The sequence below is a fragment of the Homo sapiens genome, chromosome 5, assembly GCF_000001405.40.
Source record: "Homo sapiens chromosome 5, GRCh38.p14 Primary Assembly".
Taxonomy (NCBI): domain Eukaryota; kingdom Metazoa; phylum Chordata; class Mammalia; order Primates; family Hominidae; genus Homo; species Homo sapiens.
In genome coordinates, this window is record NC_000005.10 from 68239969 (window position 1) to 68258886 (window position 18918).

At 39.5% G+C, this 18918-nt stretch overlaps 1 protein-coding gene across 6 annotated transcripts in view, besides 2 other annotated features; it reads left to right on the top strand.

The window, feature by feature from the left end:
- PIK3R1 (phosphoinositide-3-kinase regulatory subunit 1) overlaps window positions 1-18918 on the top strand; it is an 86066-nt gene that overhangs the window by 24213 nt on the left and 42935 nt on the right. Inside the window, exons 2-3 of one of the 6 annotated variants that reach the window (XM_047417316.1) lie at window positions 836-886; window positions 2988-12290. The exons of 4 other annotated variants lie outside the window; for them this stretch is intronic. In XM_047417316.1, the coding sequence (XP_047273272.1) occupies window positions 12284-12290 (7 nt within the window). In that variant the 5' untranslated portion in view covers window positions 836-886; window positions 2988-12283. The remainder of the gene's footprint in view (window positions 1-835; window positions 887-2987; window positions 12291-18918) is intronic. One more of the 6 variants, XM_047417317.1, reaches the window with a different exon arrangement.
- Window positions 9553-10170: an enhancer, noted in NCBI's record as "NANOG-H3K4me1 hESC enhancer chr5:67545349-67545966 (GRCh37/hg19 assembly coordinates)". NCBI's record gives its function as "activates a minimal SCP1, AML or CMV promoter by ChIP-STARR-seq in naive H9 embryonic stem cells {active_cell/tissue: H9 hESC(naive)}" and the evidence as "EXISTENCE:reporter gene assay evidence [ECO:0000049][PMID:30033119]".
- Window positions 10171-10788: an enhancer, noted in NCBI's record as "H3K4me1 hESC enhancer chr5:67545967-67546584 (GRCh37/hg19 assembly coordinates)". NCBI's record gives its function as "activates a minimal SCP1, AML or CMV promoter by ChIP-STARR-seq in naive H9 embryonic stem cells {active_cell/tissue: H9 hESC(naive)}" and the evidence as "EXISTENCE:reporter gene assay evidence [ECO:0000049][PMID:30033119]".

Below are 18918 nucleotides of genomic sequence, written 5' to 3' on the forward strand. Positions count from 1 at the left end.
CTGCATGTTGGAAACTGTGGCTCTTAACTGGCTAAAATTTTAACTTTCAGTGTAGCCCTCACTTGGCTTGTGCTTCTTAATGTTGTAGATAACATTATAGATTTATATAATATTCAACTTTTATATATATATTACTTATATATAAATGTTTATGTATAAATATATATTTGTATATAATATGTATTCGTATATGATATGTAGTAAATGTTATATTTAAACCATCATATAGAAAAGCCATTATTGGGTACACTGTACAAATCTGCCTTTATAATTGAGTGTACTGTTCTACTAAAAGCAGCTTTAGAGAAAGGATTGAAAGCCAGCTCTTTCTACTTCACTAGCCTTCATTGTTTGGATTGGCATTATGTGTACAGTTATATTGTAACTGTCACTTGTGGTCTAATCTTCCCCTTAGGGGAAACTTGAGAAACCTGGTCAGCTTTAACATTTAGAGGAAGTTTAAACATATTGGAGCATAAAATTCACAGTTGTTTAACTGAAACTCCAGTTCTTGTCAGACCACATCTCTCCAGCCCTTCTGTGATTGGAATCATCTAACTTTGGCCCTCAATAAGGAAAACTTTGACAAGATGCAAAAAATGTTTACTCTTGTTTTCTTTGCCAGGAACCTGAGTCTGCAGCAGACTCTGAGACCTCTTTGCCTACCCCAAATAAGTGAATTGTCACTGTAACTGTTTTTTATCCCCATAACTGCTTTCGGTGAATGCCAATCTAGTTGTTACATGCCTTTAATATTTTGGGTAATTATGTTCTTTAAGAATGAAAATATTTTTTCCTTCCTTCCTTTCTTCTTTCCTTCCTGGTTTTGTTATAGTCTAGCTGTGAGACCAGTTGCCTTTCATATATTCTAGAAGAGAAGGATGAGGTGAGTTTCACAGTGATCTTTTTCCAAAATACAAAACCACTGTCACTCTCCACTTCCCAGGCAACCCCACTCATTCTATTTTCTAGTGAGGGTTTTGCTTAGATGATGACGAGTCTCTTGATTCAGTGGACTCCTAAGGGACCATCTTTCACCAGCACCAAATGCTGTTTAGTTCACATATTGAAATGTTTTAAATTATAACTTAGCAATTGTAGTTAGTAATCTTCACATTATATTGTCTCACATTTAATGTATAATTTCCTAAGAGAAGGAAATGGTCCTGGTGGGGGTCAATAGTTATAGTAACTATTAATAATACTGATGACTACTAGTTAATAGTAATTAAGGCCTCCTAAAATGAGAGGAAAAAAAATCTTTTGTTTATAAGGTTTAAAAAGAAGAGTTGATACTTAATAGTTTTAGTAAAACCCCAGTGCATGTTCGATTAATTTTGTTACTTTATTCTGGGCATGTAGTTGAATAATTACCTGCATTTTTGATTTGCTGAAAAGGTGGTGGTTACAATTTTTTTTGTTTTTTTTTTTTTTACAGTACTGTTTTTAGTTCATTACATTGAGATGCTACATTTTCCTTTTCTTAAATACATGCAAGATGAAATGTTTTACCTCTGAGATGAAAAATTTGAAATTTCTTTAATGTGACTCCTTACTAACACAATTGCAGGCAAGCATTGAACATTTGCTTTGTTCCAGGCACCATGTGCTGTGTGCTCTACCTACCTAATCTCACTTAGTCCACTTAGTGCTATTTGCAGGTTGAGGCTTAGAAAGAAAAAGAAACTTGCCCAGAGTCCAACACTAGTAGCTGGTAAAGAGCTGGTCTTTGCATGCAGCCTCTCTCACTTCAGGATGGGTGCTTCCCAGCACCACACTGTACCACCCTCAAGACGAGTTGCAGGAGGAAAGGAACCTCTAGTGGTATTAACTAAATCTTAGCAAGTAGTTGCCTGTAAATTGTAGACTTTTAAATACAATCTCACATTTCTGTGATCTTTACCCATACACCAGTTACCTTCAAACTAATTTAAGAATCTTATAGATATTAAAAATGCTTGATTGGCCAATATCTCATTTCTGTCAAAATCATGTACTAGAAGCATGTATCAAATCAGAGACTTATTTATGACAATTTGCACACACATTTGGATAAAATGCATCAACTTCTTTCAAAGTTTACTTGAAATAAAAAGGGAAGAATACGAAGTATCACAGGTTAAAGCAATGCCCTCATTCCATTTAGGCAAAAGTGTTGTGCTATTTGAATAGTGTTAGTTTGAGAATATGGAGTTGTACTCCTTATAGCAATTCCAACCTAGAAAAATGTTTGTGTTTTAATTGATGGGTTAGGCAAAAAGTTAATCTTTGCATAGAGGAAAGAAACAGCTCTGACTTAGAGGTTTTGGGGCTAGAACATGGATCAAGTGTCTGAAGTTTTTCATGTGGCCTCAAGTTGAATCTTGGTCAGAGAATACACGGTGGTCAAACTTCACACCATAGTCATAATGTATGAAGCCAAAAGAAAAGTCCTAGTTGCTGGGTGCTTCCATTATATCATCAACCTGGGTTTAATGATTTTATTGGAAGCACGACTTCCAGTGAGGCAAGGCAGTAAGCCCCAGAAGAGAGGCCTTCCATGGGTAGATAGGAACTCAAATGCTTTCCCAGGCTGGACCCAGGAGACTGTGTCAGCTACTGTGATATGGCTTGCCACCAGGACAGATCATTCTACCCGTCTAAGGAGTTAGGGTATCCCCAAGAGCTGTGATGGGAGGTGGAAATTCACACCTGTGAAATGGGAGGTATGCTGAGTTGAACGGGATAGCCCAAGGCCTGTCCATGAACTGAGCCATGGCCAAGGATTTCTTAATTCTAGAGGCCTCCTTCTTGAGCTTGCCTTCTTTTGAACTTGGCCCTCAGTGTCTGGGTAAGTTGGAGCGTGACTATCCAGGGAAAGCCCCTGGTTTGTATTTAGTCAAGTTGGCCAGAGAAGACTGGATCTAAGCGGGAATAAAATTTGCTGACCCCCATCTCAGAGGTTAACATTTTCATTTGTGTTTTGCATGACTCATTTTAAATTACAGTGCTCTACAAGTATAGAAAGAAGCCTTCCTCTTCCCACCGTCCCCAGACACCACATAATGGAAAAAGCAAGAATTTTCTGCATAAGCAAGGCCTTAAAAAAAAAAAAGCCAGCCTCTGATGGGACTTCTTTCCTGCCAGAAATCCCACTGGTCCACTGTCGCAATTTTTACAAAAGGCCACGATGAAAGAGTAAGGCCCATTTTGAGCCCTTTGCTTCTGTATTATGTGAAACATAACTTGTATGTTTCACATATGTTCTTGGTATCAGAAGAATTGTTAGTTTTTGAACATGTAAAATCTACTAGGGTCTCTGACTGTTAAAGTATAATTTTGATTAAGAAAAGATTTGTTCCACTGCTTTGATTAGACACATAAAACTTTGAAAAGTTTTGATGTTCTGTTTCCTGTTTTAAAAAAATATGTCCTCTCCTATGAACTCTAACTAGATGAGAGGATTTTCCTCAGAGAAAATTCAGCCCTGGGAAGAACCATCTATGGAGGTCATAACCTAGAAAATTCTTCAAGGGAAGTTGCAGTGAATTAAAAGAGGGCGGAGTTAGAAAGTCCTGTTCTACCAAATTTGTGCTAATAGTTGCACCTTTCTTTCTTTCCCAGAATGGTCACTGGAGAAAATGTGTAAACCAACTGCAAACAAGTTTATCCGTTGCCACCTTTCTTTTCCTTTAGTGACAGTTCAATTCGTTAACCTGAAGGAGCTACTGTACCATCAAGACTAGCTCCCAGCCCAGGGCTTCAGCATAAAGCAGCTGCTCAGTTAATTTTGGTGGATCACGGGCAGAAACAAGTTACCTTTGGGATGCAGATTCTGAATAGTCTGCCATGAAATGATTAAATGAATGAGAGTGATGAGGGGCTACTTAATTGGACTATGTAAAATGGCTCCTTAAGCTTCGTGGACAATTGAGTAATTTCAGTTTCCTCTCTTCACTCTTGTTTACTTCCTGCTCTTCTAGCATCAAGTGTTAGGTATTCTGTTCTCTTACAATGAGAAGATTAAACAGCTGTAGTTTAAATTAAAGCATTAATTTGGAGTGTTCTGTGGCTACATTAATTATATTTTCTACTAAGATTAAATTGCAGATGGATATAAGCAGCAATATATGTTTATCCAGGGCAAACCAGAATTCTGTTAACCAGCCATCCTTGGTGACTTTTTATTTATATATAAAAACCTTTTTAAACTGAAATAATGTAACTTGATTTTTCCCCCCAGTTAGGTAGAAGAAAAAATAATTGGATGCAGAAAACAGTTGTATGGAGCGTATTTGCATAGGTACAGGACTTGAGTGACAGAAAATTCCTTTTATTTTTTTCCCCAGTGGGATTTAGCAAAAAGCATGTGTTGAAAGTCTCTTGACTAAATGGATCATAATTAAAGACTTTGGGATTTATTTATGGGTATTTTAATTAGAAACATTAAGTTCACTCAGTGGTCCTTGTGAAAACTTTTTTCTAACTGCTTATTTTATATCAAGTAATAAATAAAATTTCTGTGGGTATGAAGATGAGTTTTAGGGCCGCCTATTTCTCTAGGACCGCCCCCCCGCCCCCCGCCGCCGCTTCAGAGAGCTTTTCTCTTTCTTTCACCTATTAAACTTCTGCTCTGGACCTCAAAAAAAAAAAAAGAGTTTTAGCTGTAACCACATTGTAATTCGTGCTGAATATATGAATGCTGCTGTTCACTGAATAGTTAACTGGTTATATCCCTTGTTAATTTGAAGTTTTCTTCCTTCGTTTTGGAATGATAGTTATAAGGCAACATGCATTTTAGAAAAATGCACTTGTTTGAACTTCTCAGATCTAATGTGACTCTGTGGGACTAGATGTTAAGAAACCATATCTTTAACTGAACATCATCTATGATATTCCATCTCATAACATGTTCCATGAGTTTTATGGACAATTTCTAAGAAATCCAAAGTAGCATGCAGTTTTATCAACCTCTCTGCATCCCCTTGGCACAAGGAATAATTTTTCTGTTATTGAGGGGCAAAACAGAGGGGTAAAGGCACTCATACAGTTAAATGCCAGATTAAGTCAGGCATCCAAGTCACTCTGCTTTGGGTTGATTCTCTGAGACTCAGCTGGCTGACTTCAAAAGGACGAAATAGATTTCAACATTGGAAAAGAATACAGTATAGAATATATGATGGGTCTTGTTAGCTATCTCTTATTTTCTAATCCAAAGAGCCTCCTAGTTGGAGGAAAAACTTGAACTACATAAGTATATCAGCAAATTTTCATTATATTTTATAATTCTTTATTGCATTATACGTGAATATATTTAGCAGTGGTAGTACGTCTTGGAAAGTTTAAGAATTTAGACAAATATGCTTTTTTTTTAAAAAAAAATAGTTGAGTTTTAAATATGCTGTTTGGGTCCTTATGAGCATGTGGGAGATATATAGGAGAAAGAGTTTGTTGCTGATGTTATAGAATCACCAATGCAGCATTGCACTTTTGTTCTTTTCCATTCATTGTTCTTGCTTACATGGAGCACTTGCAAATAGGCTGGACGTCTCAGAGTTCTGAACAATGCCCTTGGCTAACCGTTAGTCCTAATTGCTGTGACTAATGTGCTGTGTGACCTAAAGACGGTAACATACTTAACCTTGGTTTTCTCATCTGTAAAATAGAATTGATGACCTCTACCAAGCCAAGGATTTCAGTGAGGCACTCAAAAATAAAAATTAAAAAATACATTTGGGACAAACATGAAAAAAATTACTTTTTAGACTTAAGCAATGCATTTAAACCTGACGAAAATGAAAGGAATTGAAATTGTTTAGCCACAGAAAATAAAGACCAAGGACCAATTTAAACAGTTGAAAATTATATGAAGCAGTGTTTTATGGAGAGTAGTAATGAACTCTTCTTCACCTTTTTTGAGGCTGTCCAAAGAAGAAATGAAGTTAGATTATTGCAGAATTACATAAGTTAGTAAGCATGGACTGACCAGTTCTTTCTAAGACACATACTTGAGTATTTATTCTCTTCAGTTGCAATGAAGGTGACAGTGAATTTGCTGAATAGCTGTGTACATGTTTCCCCAAAGAGACCACTGGAATAAAGTTTTGTTTCTTGAGACAGTTTCCATTGCATTTATAAGTCTTGTCCCTTGAAGGATGTTTTCTGGTAAACACCTGTATTCTTTTTACATTATATATCTTCATTACCGTACAAGTTTGGTTGTGAGCCATTCCAAAGTCTTTAGTATGCTGTATGGGTGTATTCTATACTTTATACCTTATTTGGAAGTCATAATAATGTCAAAACTATGCCTAGCCATCCCCTTCCCTGCAGAGTCTCTTTTGCTTTGTCCACTTGGTGTGTATATTTTTTTTTTTTTTTTTTGAGACAGAGTTTTACTCGTCGCCCAAGCCGCAGTGCAGTGGCGCGATCTCGGCTCGCTGCAACTTCTGCCTCCCGGGCCCAAGCGATTCTCCTGCCTTAGCCCCCCAGGTAGCTGAGATTACCGGTGCCCGCCACCACGCCCAGCTAATTTTTGTATTTTTAGTAGAGACAGGGTTTCACCATGTTAGCCAGGCTGGTCTGGAACGCCTGACCTCAAACGGTCCATCCGCTTCAGCCTCCCAAAGTGCTGGGATTACAGGCGTGAGCCACCGCGCCCGTCCATGTGTGTCTTTTTTATTTTTTGTTTTTTGAGACGGAGTCTCGCTCTGTCGCCCAGGCTGGAGTGCAGTGGTGCGATCTTGGCTCACTGCAAGCTCCGCCTCCTGGGTTCACGCCATTCTCCTGCCTCAGCCTCCCGAGTAGCTGGGACTGCAGGCGCCTGCCACCACGTTGTGTGTCTTTTTAAAAGATTTCCAGGACTTCTTTTTCCTTTACAAATCCAAAATTGCAGTAGCTTAATAAATAACAAATATTTTGGTTTTATGATTACTGTCAAATAGCTCATTAGTAAGAGAAAAAAAAAAATGCTGAGCCTTAAGAGGGGAGAGGAAAGGCAGTCTTTCTGAAGCTGAATCCTTTGCCTAAATTGTCTTAGCAATAAATCTTGCCACCTATTGGTAAAAAGGAAGAACTAAAACTAAAAGGTGTTTGCCGTTCTCACAGGTAGTTAGTAGTGTGATCGAAATAGAATTCTTTCAGCGGTGCTTTTGGATAAGGGGCTTGGAAATATGTGATTTGATATGGAACTTTTCCCTGTGCTTTGAATTTATCATGGCTCATCTCTAAGTCATAATAGTTTTTTGAGTAGAGGAGGTATGCTGCTCTCATGGTCTCTCTTAAAATTATATTTTTTGAGATAGAATTCCATTTTAATAGATCAGTGGATTTTAATTGGACACATTTTAGAGGCTTGATTGATTTTGAAAACATTTTTCTTTTTTCTTTCTTTCTGTCTTTCTGCCTTTCTTTCCACCACGGCTAACTGCAGTCTGAACCTCCTGTGCTCAGTTGATCCTCCCGCCTCAGCCTCCTGAGTAGCTGGGACTACAGGCGTGCGCCACCATGCCTGGCTAATTTTTCTGTAGAGATGGGGTTTCACCATGTTGCCTAGGCTGGTCTCAAGTGATCTGTCTGCCTCAGCCTCCTAAAGGGCTAAAATTATAGGTGTGAGCCACTGCACGTGGCCTTTTTTTTTTTTTTTTCTTGAGACAGGGTCTTCCTCTGTCACTCAGGCTGGAGTATAGTGGCATCAACATGGCTCACTGTAGCCTTGACATCTTGGGGTCACCTGATCCTCCTACCTCAGCCTCTGGTGTAGCTGGGACTACAGGCTGAAAACATTTTTCTAACTCTGTTGTTAGTTTGGGCTTTCCTTCATTCCAGCCTCTGAAATCCATTATTTCCTGCCCAACGGGACAGGCCAGTGGTGACGTTGGCCTTTGGTGCCAGGGCCTGTTTTTCCAGATCATGGGCACCATACAAAGATAACTGCCCTAAACGGCATCATTGCCCCAGAGTCATTGAATGTCCTTAAGGTGCATTTGATAAAACAAAAACAGTTTTTTGTTTTGAAAATTCTCAAGTATTTCCATACTGGGAAAATGTTCTTTTTTTTTTTTTGACAGGGTCTTGCTCTGCTGCCCAGGCTGGAGTGCAGTGGCGGGATCTCAATTCACTGCAACCTCTGCATCCTGGGTTCAAGCAATTCTCCTGCCTCAGCTGGGACCACCGGCACATGCCACTAAGCCCGGCTAATTTTTGTATTTTTAGTAGAGATGGGGTTTTGCCATGTTGGCCAGACTGGTCTTGAACTCTTGACCTCAAGAGTGACCCATCTGCCTCGGCCTCCGAGAGTGCTGGGATTACAGGCATGAGCCACCATGCCTGGCCAACAATGTTCTTTTTAATGGTGTTTTCCCCACTATCTGGATAGATATATGAATTCAGTTACTAAGATGACTTAGATTTAAATATAAAACACTAGCATAGCAGTTTTTGATTCTTAATATTATCTTAAATCCACCTCCCCTCATTGTCCTCTGTATCTAAACACCCTTCAATTCTTGAGAAAATTAAGATTACCAAAGATTAGTAATCTATTTGTGATTGTGTGTGTTGGTGGACATCCTAACAAATTTATGAATAAAGCCAATACTGTTTTGTTAGTGTCCTTATTTTTTCTTTACGTCTGTTCATATTTGGAATTCTAAGGCACTACCCAGATAATCATTTGATACCCTTTGTTGGCATGACATGTTTGGTCAATTGTTTTGGCAAAATTATTTATCCACCACTGGGAACTAAGCACTGTAACAACTAAAGAAAGAGGTCATACAAGGGAAATTGGAAGAACTATATGTTATTTGTTTCAATTTTTATGTAGTACACCTATATATGTGTGCAAAAAAAATGTAAACTGTTACAAAGCAACATATTGATGAATTTAAATGAGTAGAGCATAATAAAAGCAAAAACCAAACAGAAGAGTGGTTGGAGTGAGGCCATAATAAACCAAGAGATATTTTCTGAAGGAAGTGAACATGTTTGCATTTTCCAGCATACTGCTATGGATGTCAGCGTTAGGCTAATACATAGTATTGCAGCGTGATTCAAAAAGGTGAGATAGAGGGGAAATAAGATAGCTTCATAAATATTACCAAGGAATTTAAGACATGAGCATTTTATGTAGGGAGGTTGAAATGCATTGTTATAATCAGGCTGTGTAATTTCCTTCTGTCAAGACCTACCCATTTACCAGTAATGATACCTTCTTTCTCTTCTATTTTTGTCTCTTCCTTTAGGAAAAGGAATATATGCTTACTCATTATTTAAAATTCAGAGTCATTTTCCTGTTCCAGTTGGTTTTGTTCCTGGAACCACCAAAGAAGAGTAGAATTAGGTGCATGTGAAACTTTTGTTTCTGCTTTTTCTACTCAATCAACTTTTATCCCTTTTTAATTTTTACTCTCTCAACCATCAGTTCTATATCATGGTATCTCTTCTTGGTCTTTTTGTATTATATTTCCATAAAACCAGATGTACGGGGTTGTTAAAATACTGCCTGGACATATTATCTACCCTGCACTAAGTGGTCCTATCACAAAATCCAGTTAAACACACATTGAAGTATTTAAATTGTTTCTTTTTTAAATAACATCATATTGGGCATTGGACTTCTTAACTAAACTATTTCTTTCACTAAATGACATTGGTTAATTCAACAAGCCATTGTAGGAATTCTGTTAACCCAGTAGCTTCTACTACTATGTTACTATGGTAATGACTTAGCTTCCCATAAAGCTGCATTTAAATAGGTGTTTATAGTCACCAATTACCAGGTATTTCAAGTACTCTTTGAAAGGGGCCTGCTTGTGGTGGGGTGGGGGGCGTTAACATAGATACTTTCTCAGTCACGTAGCCATTTGAAGTTTTTCAGGTAGAAGACAGTTGATAGACTATTTGGTGAGCAAATGAATAACTGGATGAATACCCATCTGGGAACCCCTAAAGAACTGAAGATAGTTCCCTGGCCATCACTGTTCACAGTCATCTATTATGTGCTTACTCTATGCCAAGTGTTGGGCTGGATTCTGGGGTCACCAAAGGGAAGAGAAAATTTTCACTGCCTTGAGGGTAGCTAAAAACTTAATGGAGGGAAGCTGAGAGCATGAGCGAGCGTGCCACCCCAGCTGGGTGAGCGGCACACCTTGGGAACAGCTGGGAGACCCCCAGTGGTGTGTGTCTTCCTTCGCCCTTAGCACTTGCTCCTCTCCAGCTCACTGTGTTTCTTTTCTCTCTGGGGTCTAAGGAGCTTAGGCTTCACTGCCTGCTCCTCAGATTGTGGGAGCAGGAGCAGAGAGTGGGTGCCTGCCACGGGACAGGGGGTCCTAGAGACAGGCCCCAGCATGGGAAGGCAGTGGAAACCCATGCATTGCTCTCTGGCATTGCCACACGTCTTCTGCTGCCTGCCTTCCAGCCCTTTGCTTTTCCCCAGCTCCGTCAGCTCCTTGCCTCTGACATCAGTGATGAAAGTCAGGCGTGGGGGGATTAGATTATTTCCATTGGCCTTGATAGACTTAGACATATAATAGAAGCTATGATAAGTGAGTTAGTTTTCCATGTTTGTTTACTGAAGTTTATATTACCCTTTATGTCACCAAAACATGCCCGTTTGCAGTCATTGCCAATGTAGTCATGCAAAATCACTTGAGTGAAATAGACTTTGGGGATCTAATCTCAGGACCTAACCACCATTTATAAAGCTTTTTTGGGGAAAATGTGTTCTGGATTTCGCACAGCCAGCTTACAAATGAGCTTTGGAAACACAATCCACATGTAAGTTGGAGACTTCCTATTATTAGCATTCAGCCCTGCGAGGAGAGCCCTTGCTTTGTTAGCAGGCCTATGTGTCCTCAGCCCTAAGTTCCTAAAACCAGCACTACTTGAGGAGCTTGAATTGGTGCTCTTGGAGTTCTTTAGATTAGTTATGAGACTTCAGAACCTGCTTACCAGCAGTACTGAGCTCAAGAGGAAGCCTAATTCATATCCTTCAGAAGATAATTTTAAGAGAGTGTGTATGTTTTCGTTTTGTGAACAAAGGAAAGTTAATCTGGTGCTCCGTGTCTGTTTTGTAATTCCCCAAGGGAGAAGGAAAGGGAGGGAAATGATTGATTTCCAGATAGGATAAAAACCAGTCAGCACACAATGGGTTACTGCCACCGCTTTCTGATAAGGATCCTACTTCAACTATCTGAAGAGATTCTTCAAGGTGGAGGATACAGTGGTTATATTAGTTACTCTCACCCTTGTTATTATGGAAGGTAAAATTCCTGGATCCTAGATTTAATTTTAAAATAGTAATTTAATAATGTCTGGTGGAAACCTCTTAAAAAAAACACTTTGCAGCACATCTCTGGTAGCCCTGTGCTTGAGATGACTTTTAGGCTGCCAGTTCAGAAGATGGAAGATATAAACTGTGTTGATGAGTTGGTTTTTCAGTGGACCCTGTTAGGTTCCTTTTTTAAAAAAATAATAATTTTTATAATGAGTATGTCTTCGTGAGCCCTCACAACCCTTGAAGTTTTTACTTGTTTGGCAGAACTAAGGGCACTGAACGTTTGTAAGCCGTTCACTAACACTTACAGGAAGGGCATAAAAGGGTGCTCAAGTCAGTCTGTAGGTGGTGGGGGCGGGGTGGAAAGAGGGGATTCCTGTAGGCCTGGATGAATCAGCCACTGATTTCTGATGGTAGCCCCAGCTGCAAAAAAGTAGGAAGCTTTTTTTATGGACAGAACTACAACTCCTTTCTTTCAAGTTTTTCAGCCTTTTCACACTTTTCCATTCTTCAGACTTTGCAAGTTTTTAAACAAAATGTTTGTATTTCCCCAAAGGAAATCACACAGTTGACTGCATTATGAGAGGGAAAGGAGCAAACTCTGTCTCATCTGAGGAGGGGCTCAGATCAGGAGTTGTGTAGGGCCCTCACCCGGTTGGGGGTGGTGGAGCCTTGGCTGTGTGCAGGAGTGACTGTTCTTGGAGATGTTCTGGTTGGATCATGAGTTTGGGCTTGGAAAGCACTGCCTCAAGTTCATCAGCAGGAATGAGGTAGAATTCACTACTTGCTGTCTTAAGACCTTTCTGTCTGCCAAGTGTTTGAGCAATCCCTCACATCTCCCCCTTGAACTAAAGAGCAACAACTGGTCAAGAGCCCAGCAGGGATGAAAAAGGTTGGCCCCTTGCATCCTTCATCTGCTGTTTAGACTAAGGGCCGCATTGTAGACCACTCTCGGCCATGCTGTCCTGAACCCGAGGATCAGCAGAATTACAGGCCCAATTTCAGGCAGACGTGAGCTTGCATCTGATGACAGGCAAGTACCTACATGTGTCTTTCATTACTCCGCTGCCTTAGGAGATGCTGTTTAAGTTGGCAGATATGCTTATTTGAAAGCAAAGCTTGTTGCTGGTGAGATTACTGAATTTACAAAAAAAAAAAAGTGGGGGGATCAGATGCCAAGGGAGAGGGAAGGGAGTGTGTAGCATTTAAAAGTGTGGTGAAGCCATCAAGTTAACAAGAAAAAGTAGAATAAAATGTGGTTCCAATTTGTTGTACTGGGCTCAAGATGATAATATTGCAATAGTAAACTGTAGGGATGTGTGCGTGCAAATGTGATTACATGTGTGCTTGCTTTCTGAATTTCAAAATTGTAGAAGTTATTAGAAGTTCTAATTTTAGTTCCCAATTTAATTTACTCTGATAGTAAATTAGTAATTTTCAAGGGATTTACTGATAATCAGAACAAAGATTTGCAATTTCTAGGACAGATCCCCAATTTTGGGGGTGGGAAGGAGCTACTTTGTATTTCCCTGAAACCTTGAGTTACTGGGGCCGAACATGTAGGGCAGATATTGAATGACCAATCCTAATGCTCTTAGCAACTTTGCTAAGTAAAACCCCGCTGCCATCCAGTGGCAATTGGCTATACGGCATGGTAGCTGTAAAATATGCCCTTTTCTGCCTTTTCTCCCTCAGATTCCACCTTTCTCAGATGCTCCCAGTTTTTTTTCCCAGATGGCACCTGACACAGTACTTGACAGGAAAAATTGACTTTATGTCTGGCTTAGGTAATTCAGGGCAAGTGTGCATTTATTTACCTTGTCTCTTCTCCTAGCAATACTAATTTTTATCTACGTTGCATTTTTATTTTCTCCCCAGATTTGTCATAACACACATACTTTTTCCTTGAATATTTTTGTTACCTTAGCTAAAGAATTAATGCATTGTGGTATTTCTGCTTGTCATAGTTTTACTTTAGAGTAGATTTCGCTTATATCTTTGTATTTATGCTTTGAGCTGTGGTTTACCAATTTCCTAGCATGTTTCATGACACTTATCCTACATTTCAGACAAGGATTTATGTGTCCCATAGGATTCAAGCTGGACTTGGAGAAAGAGCCAGCTAGCAAATGGAATTATTCTGACTTGTGAAAGGTTCCAGCCTTTTAAAACTAGGCTCTGAGAAATAAAAAAACAAATATTCTTGGGAAGAAACTGGGTTTGTGAGTACTTGGCTAGAAATTTTAGGAAAGGAAAGAACATTTCCTCTGGCCTCGGGAGCACATTCAATGTGAAATATTGCTGCCTTTAAAAGAGCCAAACTTAAATTTCTATTTGGATCATTTACTTGACTTAAAAATAAAGGGATCTATTTTTTTTTAAGGTTCAGAACCCTATTTTAAATAAAATGACATTCTAGTAAGTCAGGCAAGATGCCCCCAACATGAGCTATTAATTAAAAACAGCCGGAACTTCTGGAGGTGTTAGCAAGTATCTACTATGAGCTTGGGGATTGGCGAAATCTGGTACAAGTTAGTTCCAGCTGCGCACATTTGCCTTATTACAGTTCTTTATGATAAATTAAATGCATGCTTCATACATCCTTTGGTGTAGTCATATTCTCTCAGCACTTGACTAAGCAGGTGGAAAGCTTATTTAGTCATAGGATGACTGAAAACAATGAACTATAAACCCATGTATATCCACTCCAAGAAAAGAGCTAATAAATGTCATGTTTTTTATTTTCCCGTGGACCCCCTTTTTTTTTTTTTTTTTGTATTTTATAACCTTTCCAGAATCTTGAGTGATTTTTAAATGTTTGCCCTTTGGTCATAAATGCAGCAAGTAAATGTGAGTCTGCACACTCGAATGTTGTATAAATCAGTTGACCAGTCAGTGTTGGAGCAAACTTCTCAGGATTGCTCTGTGAACTCCCTGTTCTCTGGCAGTTGCCAAATACAAAGATAAACCAGGAGAGACTTATTCCCAAGAAAAGAATGATTCTGCATCCTTAACTTACATATAAACTGTTGAGATGTTTCATTGTTTTGTATGGTCAAGCCCCTTCTCTTGTTCTCTCTCTTCATCAATTAGTATGGAAAATTGGAAGTTTACTGAAAAGAGTTTCGAATCATGGGATTTTAGATTTGAAAAGGACCAGAGGGATCATCTACTCTTCCAACAAATAAAAAATAAAACCCCCAAAGGAATGAATGATCCATGGCTGGGACATTGGAATCTCTCTATAAAGGAGAAATCATATTAAGGTATTTTCATCTTAGGCCTCTAACCCCAAGGGTATCTTTACAAAGACTTTATTTTAGTGAAGCCTTCAATAAACAGTGACCTCATGTCAAGAATTCTAAAGAGAGGGTTATGGAATATTGGTTTGATATTAAAGTCATTGTTATCTTGGAGCTGGCCTGAATGGACTAATAAGTGGCCTGTCACCAGTTGTAACTTACTTTTACAATTTTAATGTGATTTAAGGGAAGACACTCTTGGAAATGCTTAGTTATGGTTCATACCCATAATCGTGTTTCTTTTAGGTCTTAAAATTTTATATAATACAGGGGAGTAGATTGCATCAGTACAGTCTTTTTCTTTTTTTCTTTTTTTTTTTTATGATGCAAACAAAGCAGTATCTTAAATTAAATCAAGGTTTCTTAAGGTTCCAGATTCTTATTCCTAAATTTTCCACTGAGTAACCTCCAAATTCTTCTCCTGCCTTTGTCCCTAGTTGACACAAGTCAGGCCACAATTTTTTTTCTGCAAATGGACGAGCTGCTGCTCAGAGGCTGCACTTACTGGTGAGAGATCCTTCAAGGGAAATGAATCTGGAATGGCCTGGAACATTTGTCTTTGGGTTGCTCCAGGGCTTTATTAGAGCTTCTGAGATTTCTAAGTAGGTGATGAAATTTAGCAGCATCTGATTTTCTAAAATGACCAAAGGAGAATTGTTTCAGTCCCTGATTTGCAAAGTACTCACTTTTTGGTCCTCTCAAAATTTTTGTCAGATAAAGATTTTTCCGTGCCATGGATATAAGAAATAACCCACTCTTACCGATAAAGGGAAGTTAGTGTTGTAAAGGAACAAATGGTGATTCAGGTTTGGGAGACTTTGGAGGTATTCATTCTCCACTAAGCTATATCCCAATACCATCATTATCTGGGTCAGCCTCCGATTCAGCCTCATCCTGTGCTTCAGCAGTGGGGTAAAACAAATGTCACTTGTTAGCTGCTTCTTCATGACCTTCATAGACTATGCATTAATTTGAAGCCCTGCCCCCAAAAATAGTGCTTGGGGGGGAAATGAGTTAGTGATTTTGTGAAGATAATGGGAGTTGAGGAAAACACTTAAGTTTGCTTTTCTGAGCTCTAGCTTCATTTTACTTCTCAGTCTCAGTATTTAATTGTCTCCACTGTTTTTTCTAACTTGGAAGGAAATCAGATGGCGAAAGTGAAACATACGGCTATCAATGTGAAAAAGCTGCTCCCTATAGCACTGGAATTCTCTTGTCATTAATAGCTCTTGTAGTCGACAGATTATAATATACAGAGTCATAAATGTTCTTGTTGTCATTTGGAAAATTACAAATTCCCAAAAAGTGGTGATTATTTGGGGCTTTGGGTCTGCAAGACGTTTCACATTAAAATGCTGATAATATCTTCAAAAACCACAGAGCCATGGGCCTTGCAGGCTTGGTAACTGACTGCCTTTGTGGTGTGGTTTTATTCTTTCTACTGAAGCACCTGGTTGAAAGGAGTGGGATGCTGAATTCATAGGGGCGTGTTCACAAAAATCTTTAACATCAAGTATCTGTTTATTCAAAATAGTGCATAGTTCAAAGCAACCTTGATTCCTTAAACTAGATGTTTTTCTGTTCTTTAATGAAAACAGCCTGAACGTGGTTATTAATCTGAGTCTTTCTCCATTCTGACCACCCCACTCTGTTTTTCTCTTTGAATATCAAAAAAAAAGTATAAAAACATTTTGTAATTTTTTATTTATTTATTTTTGTTGAGACGGAGTCTCGCTCTGTCGCACAGGGTGGAGTGCAATGGCGCAGTCTCGGCTCACTGCAAGCTCCACCTCTCAGGTTCACACCATTCTCCTGCCTCAGCCTTCCGAGTAGCTGGGACTACAGGTGCCCGCCACCACGCCCAGCTAATCTTTTTGTATTTTTAGTAGAGACAGGGTTTCACCGTGTTCACCAGGAGGGTCTCGATCTCCTGACCTTGTGATCCGCCCGCCTCGGCCTCCCAAAGTGCTGGGATTACAGGTGTGAGCCACCGCACCCAGCAACATTTTGTAATTTTTTAAAGGGCTACATAAATTCAAGGTATTATTGCTGTACTTCTTTTCTGTTACCTTATGAAGTTGATTGTTGTTGAAGCACCAACAGTATGCATACATGGGTATCCAGAATGACCATCTAGTCTCAGTTGTGCAAAATTCACTATGTAGTCTCATGGATTGAGAGGGGCAATTAGCAAGAGTGTGAGATAATGGAGAACAAAAAATAATGCCAAGCTGGGTTAAAAAAAAAAAAGTTTGGGAAAGAAAAAACAAGTGCTCAAGACAAGCCTCCTATTTTTCAGTTTGGCCTAGCCCTAGCCCTATTGAAGAAGGTTAGTACATTCACCTGGCCAGTTTTAGCTAACTTGGTTACCTGGCAAGTGGCGGGGATGCAGTACATTAGTACTTGTCCTGTGGTACAGAGCATGTGTCTCAGGGTGTGGCCACTCCAGGGAGAGGGAAGACGTGCTTTATGGGGCCTCCTCAGCCATCACTGTGATATGTGCCACCAGGAACCCAGGACCTTTCATGGTCCAGTCTGAGGTGGGAGCACCACAGAAGCAAGAGCTGCCTGGCCCAGCCAAGCCCAGATTACCCTAAAATCTTACTGCTTTTTTCCCTTCAGCATTTTAAATTATAGGAGCAAGTAAAAGTGTACATAACGCAAGGCAATCTGAACAGGTGGCTGATAGCTGCTCCATCCAGAGGAAGAGCCATGAAGTTCCCCCGACCCACACATTTCACCCTGTCTTGTCTACCAAAAATCACATGAAAATGCAGACATAACCATGGAGGAGTAACCCATGAACAAAGGGCTGGTAATTACAGTTTAATGCTGTTCTTTTTACCCCTTTGGCTGGCTGGCTGTGCAAAGGCAGGCCCCGGTAATTACGGTTTAATGTTGTTCTTTTTACCCCTTTGGCTGGCTGGCTGTGCAAAGGCAGGCCCCACAGGGGAGTAATGTATTTGTGACAGCCAGTTGGGGTGGGGAGAGATGGGCTGTACTACACTTTGAATTTATTATGTTCTGCTAATACTTTTACTCCTATGCTGGAAAGTTATGTTTTCCTTCCTTTGTTAGACAATTTTTGCAGAGTAGTTTAACATTTTCAAACATTTACTATATATAGCACTTTTAAAATCCAGGAACTGTCATTTCCAAAGAAGATTCCATGTCTATAATATTAATTCCCTGTCCTCTCCTCATTGCCTTTTTCAGACATCCACTGTAGATAGCCTCTGTTCCCCAGGAACTAACATTTCCAAAGGAAACTCCCTTGCCTATAATTCCCTGTTATCTTCTTGTTGCCTCTCCTGAATAATAATTTTTGATTCAGTACCTTTTAGCTATTTATAATGTTATCGTATAATCTGAGTTTGGGAACTGCTTGCCACTTCCAGTTTCTGACACCCAAAACACATTTTATGCTTAGAGAAAACAATAGCACCCTGACTTTTTAGAAGACATAGTTTTCCCTTGGGGATCCAAACTGGAAGCAGATATTTGAGCTGTGAACACATTTTTTCTTAGAAGAGTCAATTAGGAGCTGGGTTGAAGCTTCAGTCTATGCACTTAGAGTCAGGTTTTAGGACCAAGAGCAAGCACTGTGGGCACCTGTTGTAAGAAAACATCTGACAGCACGAGGTGCTAAATTGCTTCAAAATCCTCCATAGCTCGTGGGGATGCTACCTTTTTAGTAGGAGTTTGAAGCCCAGAATGCACTTTATATTATAACCAACACAGTTGAAAAATAGGTTCCATGTTCTATAAGAATGGATTCATTAAACTGCATGTTCTGGAAAAAGGATGTATTAGAGACTTTGAATTTGAGGATCCTGTGTTATATACATCTCTGAGCCATCTTATCAGGAAGAAAAGCAGCTCCTTAAGGTGCCTGCCTCTTCCTCTAATACTATGTACATATTTCGACCTCTGCCCTCTTTAAGTTATTTTCATTTGTCTTGTAGCCAGTATCAGACATGTTAATGACCACTAACTTTGTAAATGAAATTATTGCAGCTCATAATGTCAAGATGTGAACCTAAGCAGGCCTTAGGTTTTCTGACTTAATAGCCGAACCATACCAGTCTTTCCCTGATCATTGAACCTTCTGTCTTCTGCAGTCAGCAGACCGTCTCTAATGAGAGGTGCACAGACACTTTTGATGCTTATTTTAAGGGAAGCCAGTGGCAGATGGAGAGCCATCAGATGAAACTGTTATTAATCACACCATTTCTGAAGCTGTTCTGACTCCACACCCTGCATTGTGACAAACGCCAGGATGCCAAGTTCCTAGTATTGCAGCAGGTTCTTAGTACATAACAAACACTATCAGTGCCCCCAGCTCAACTTCGACTAAAT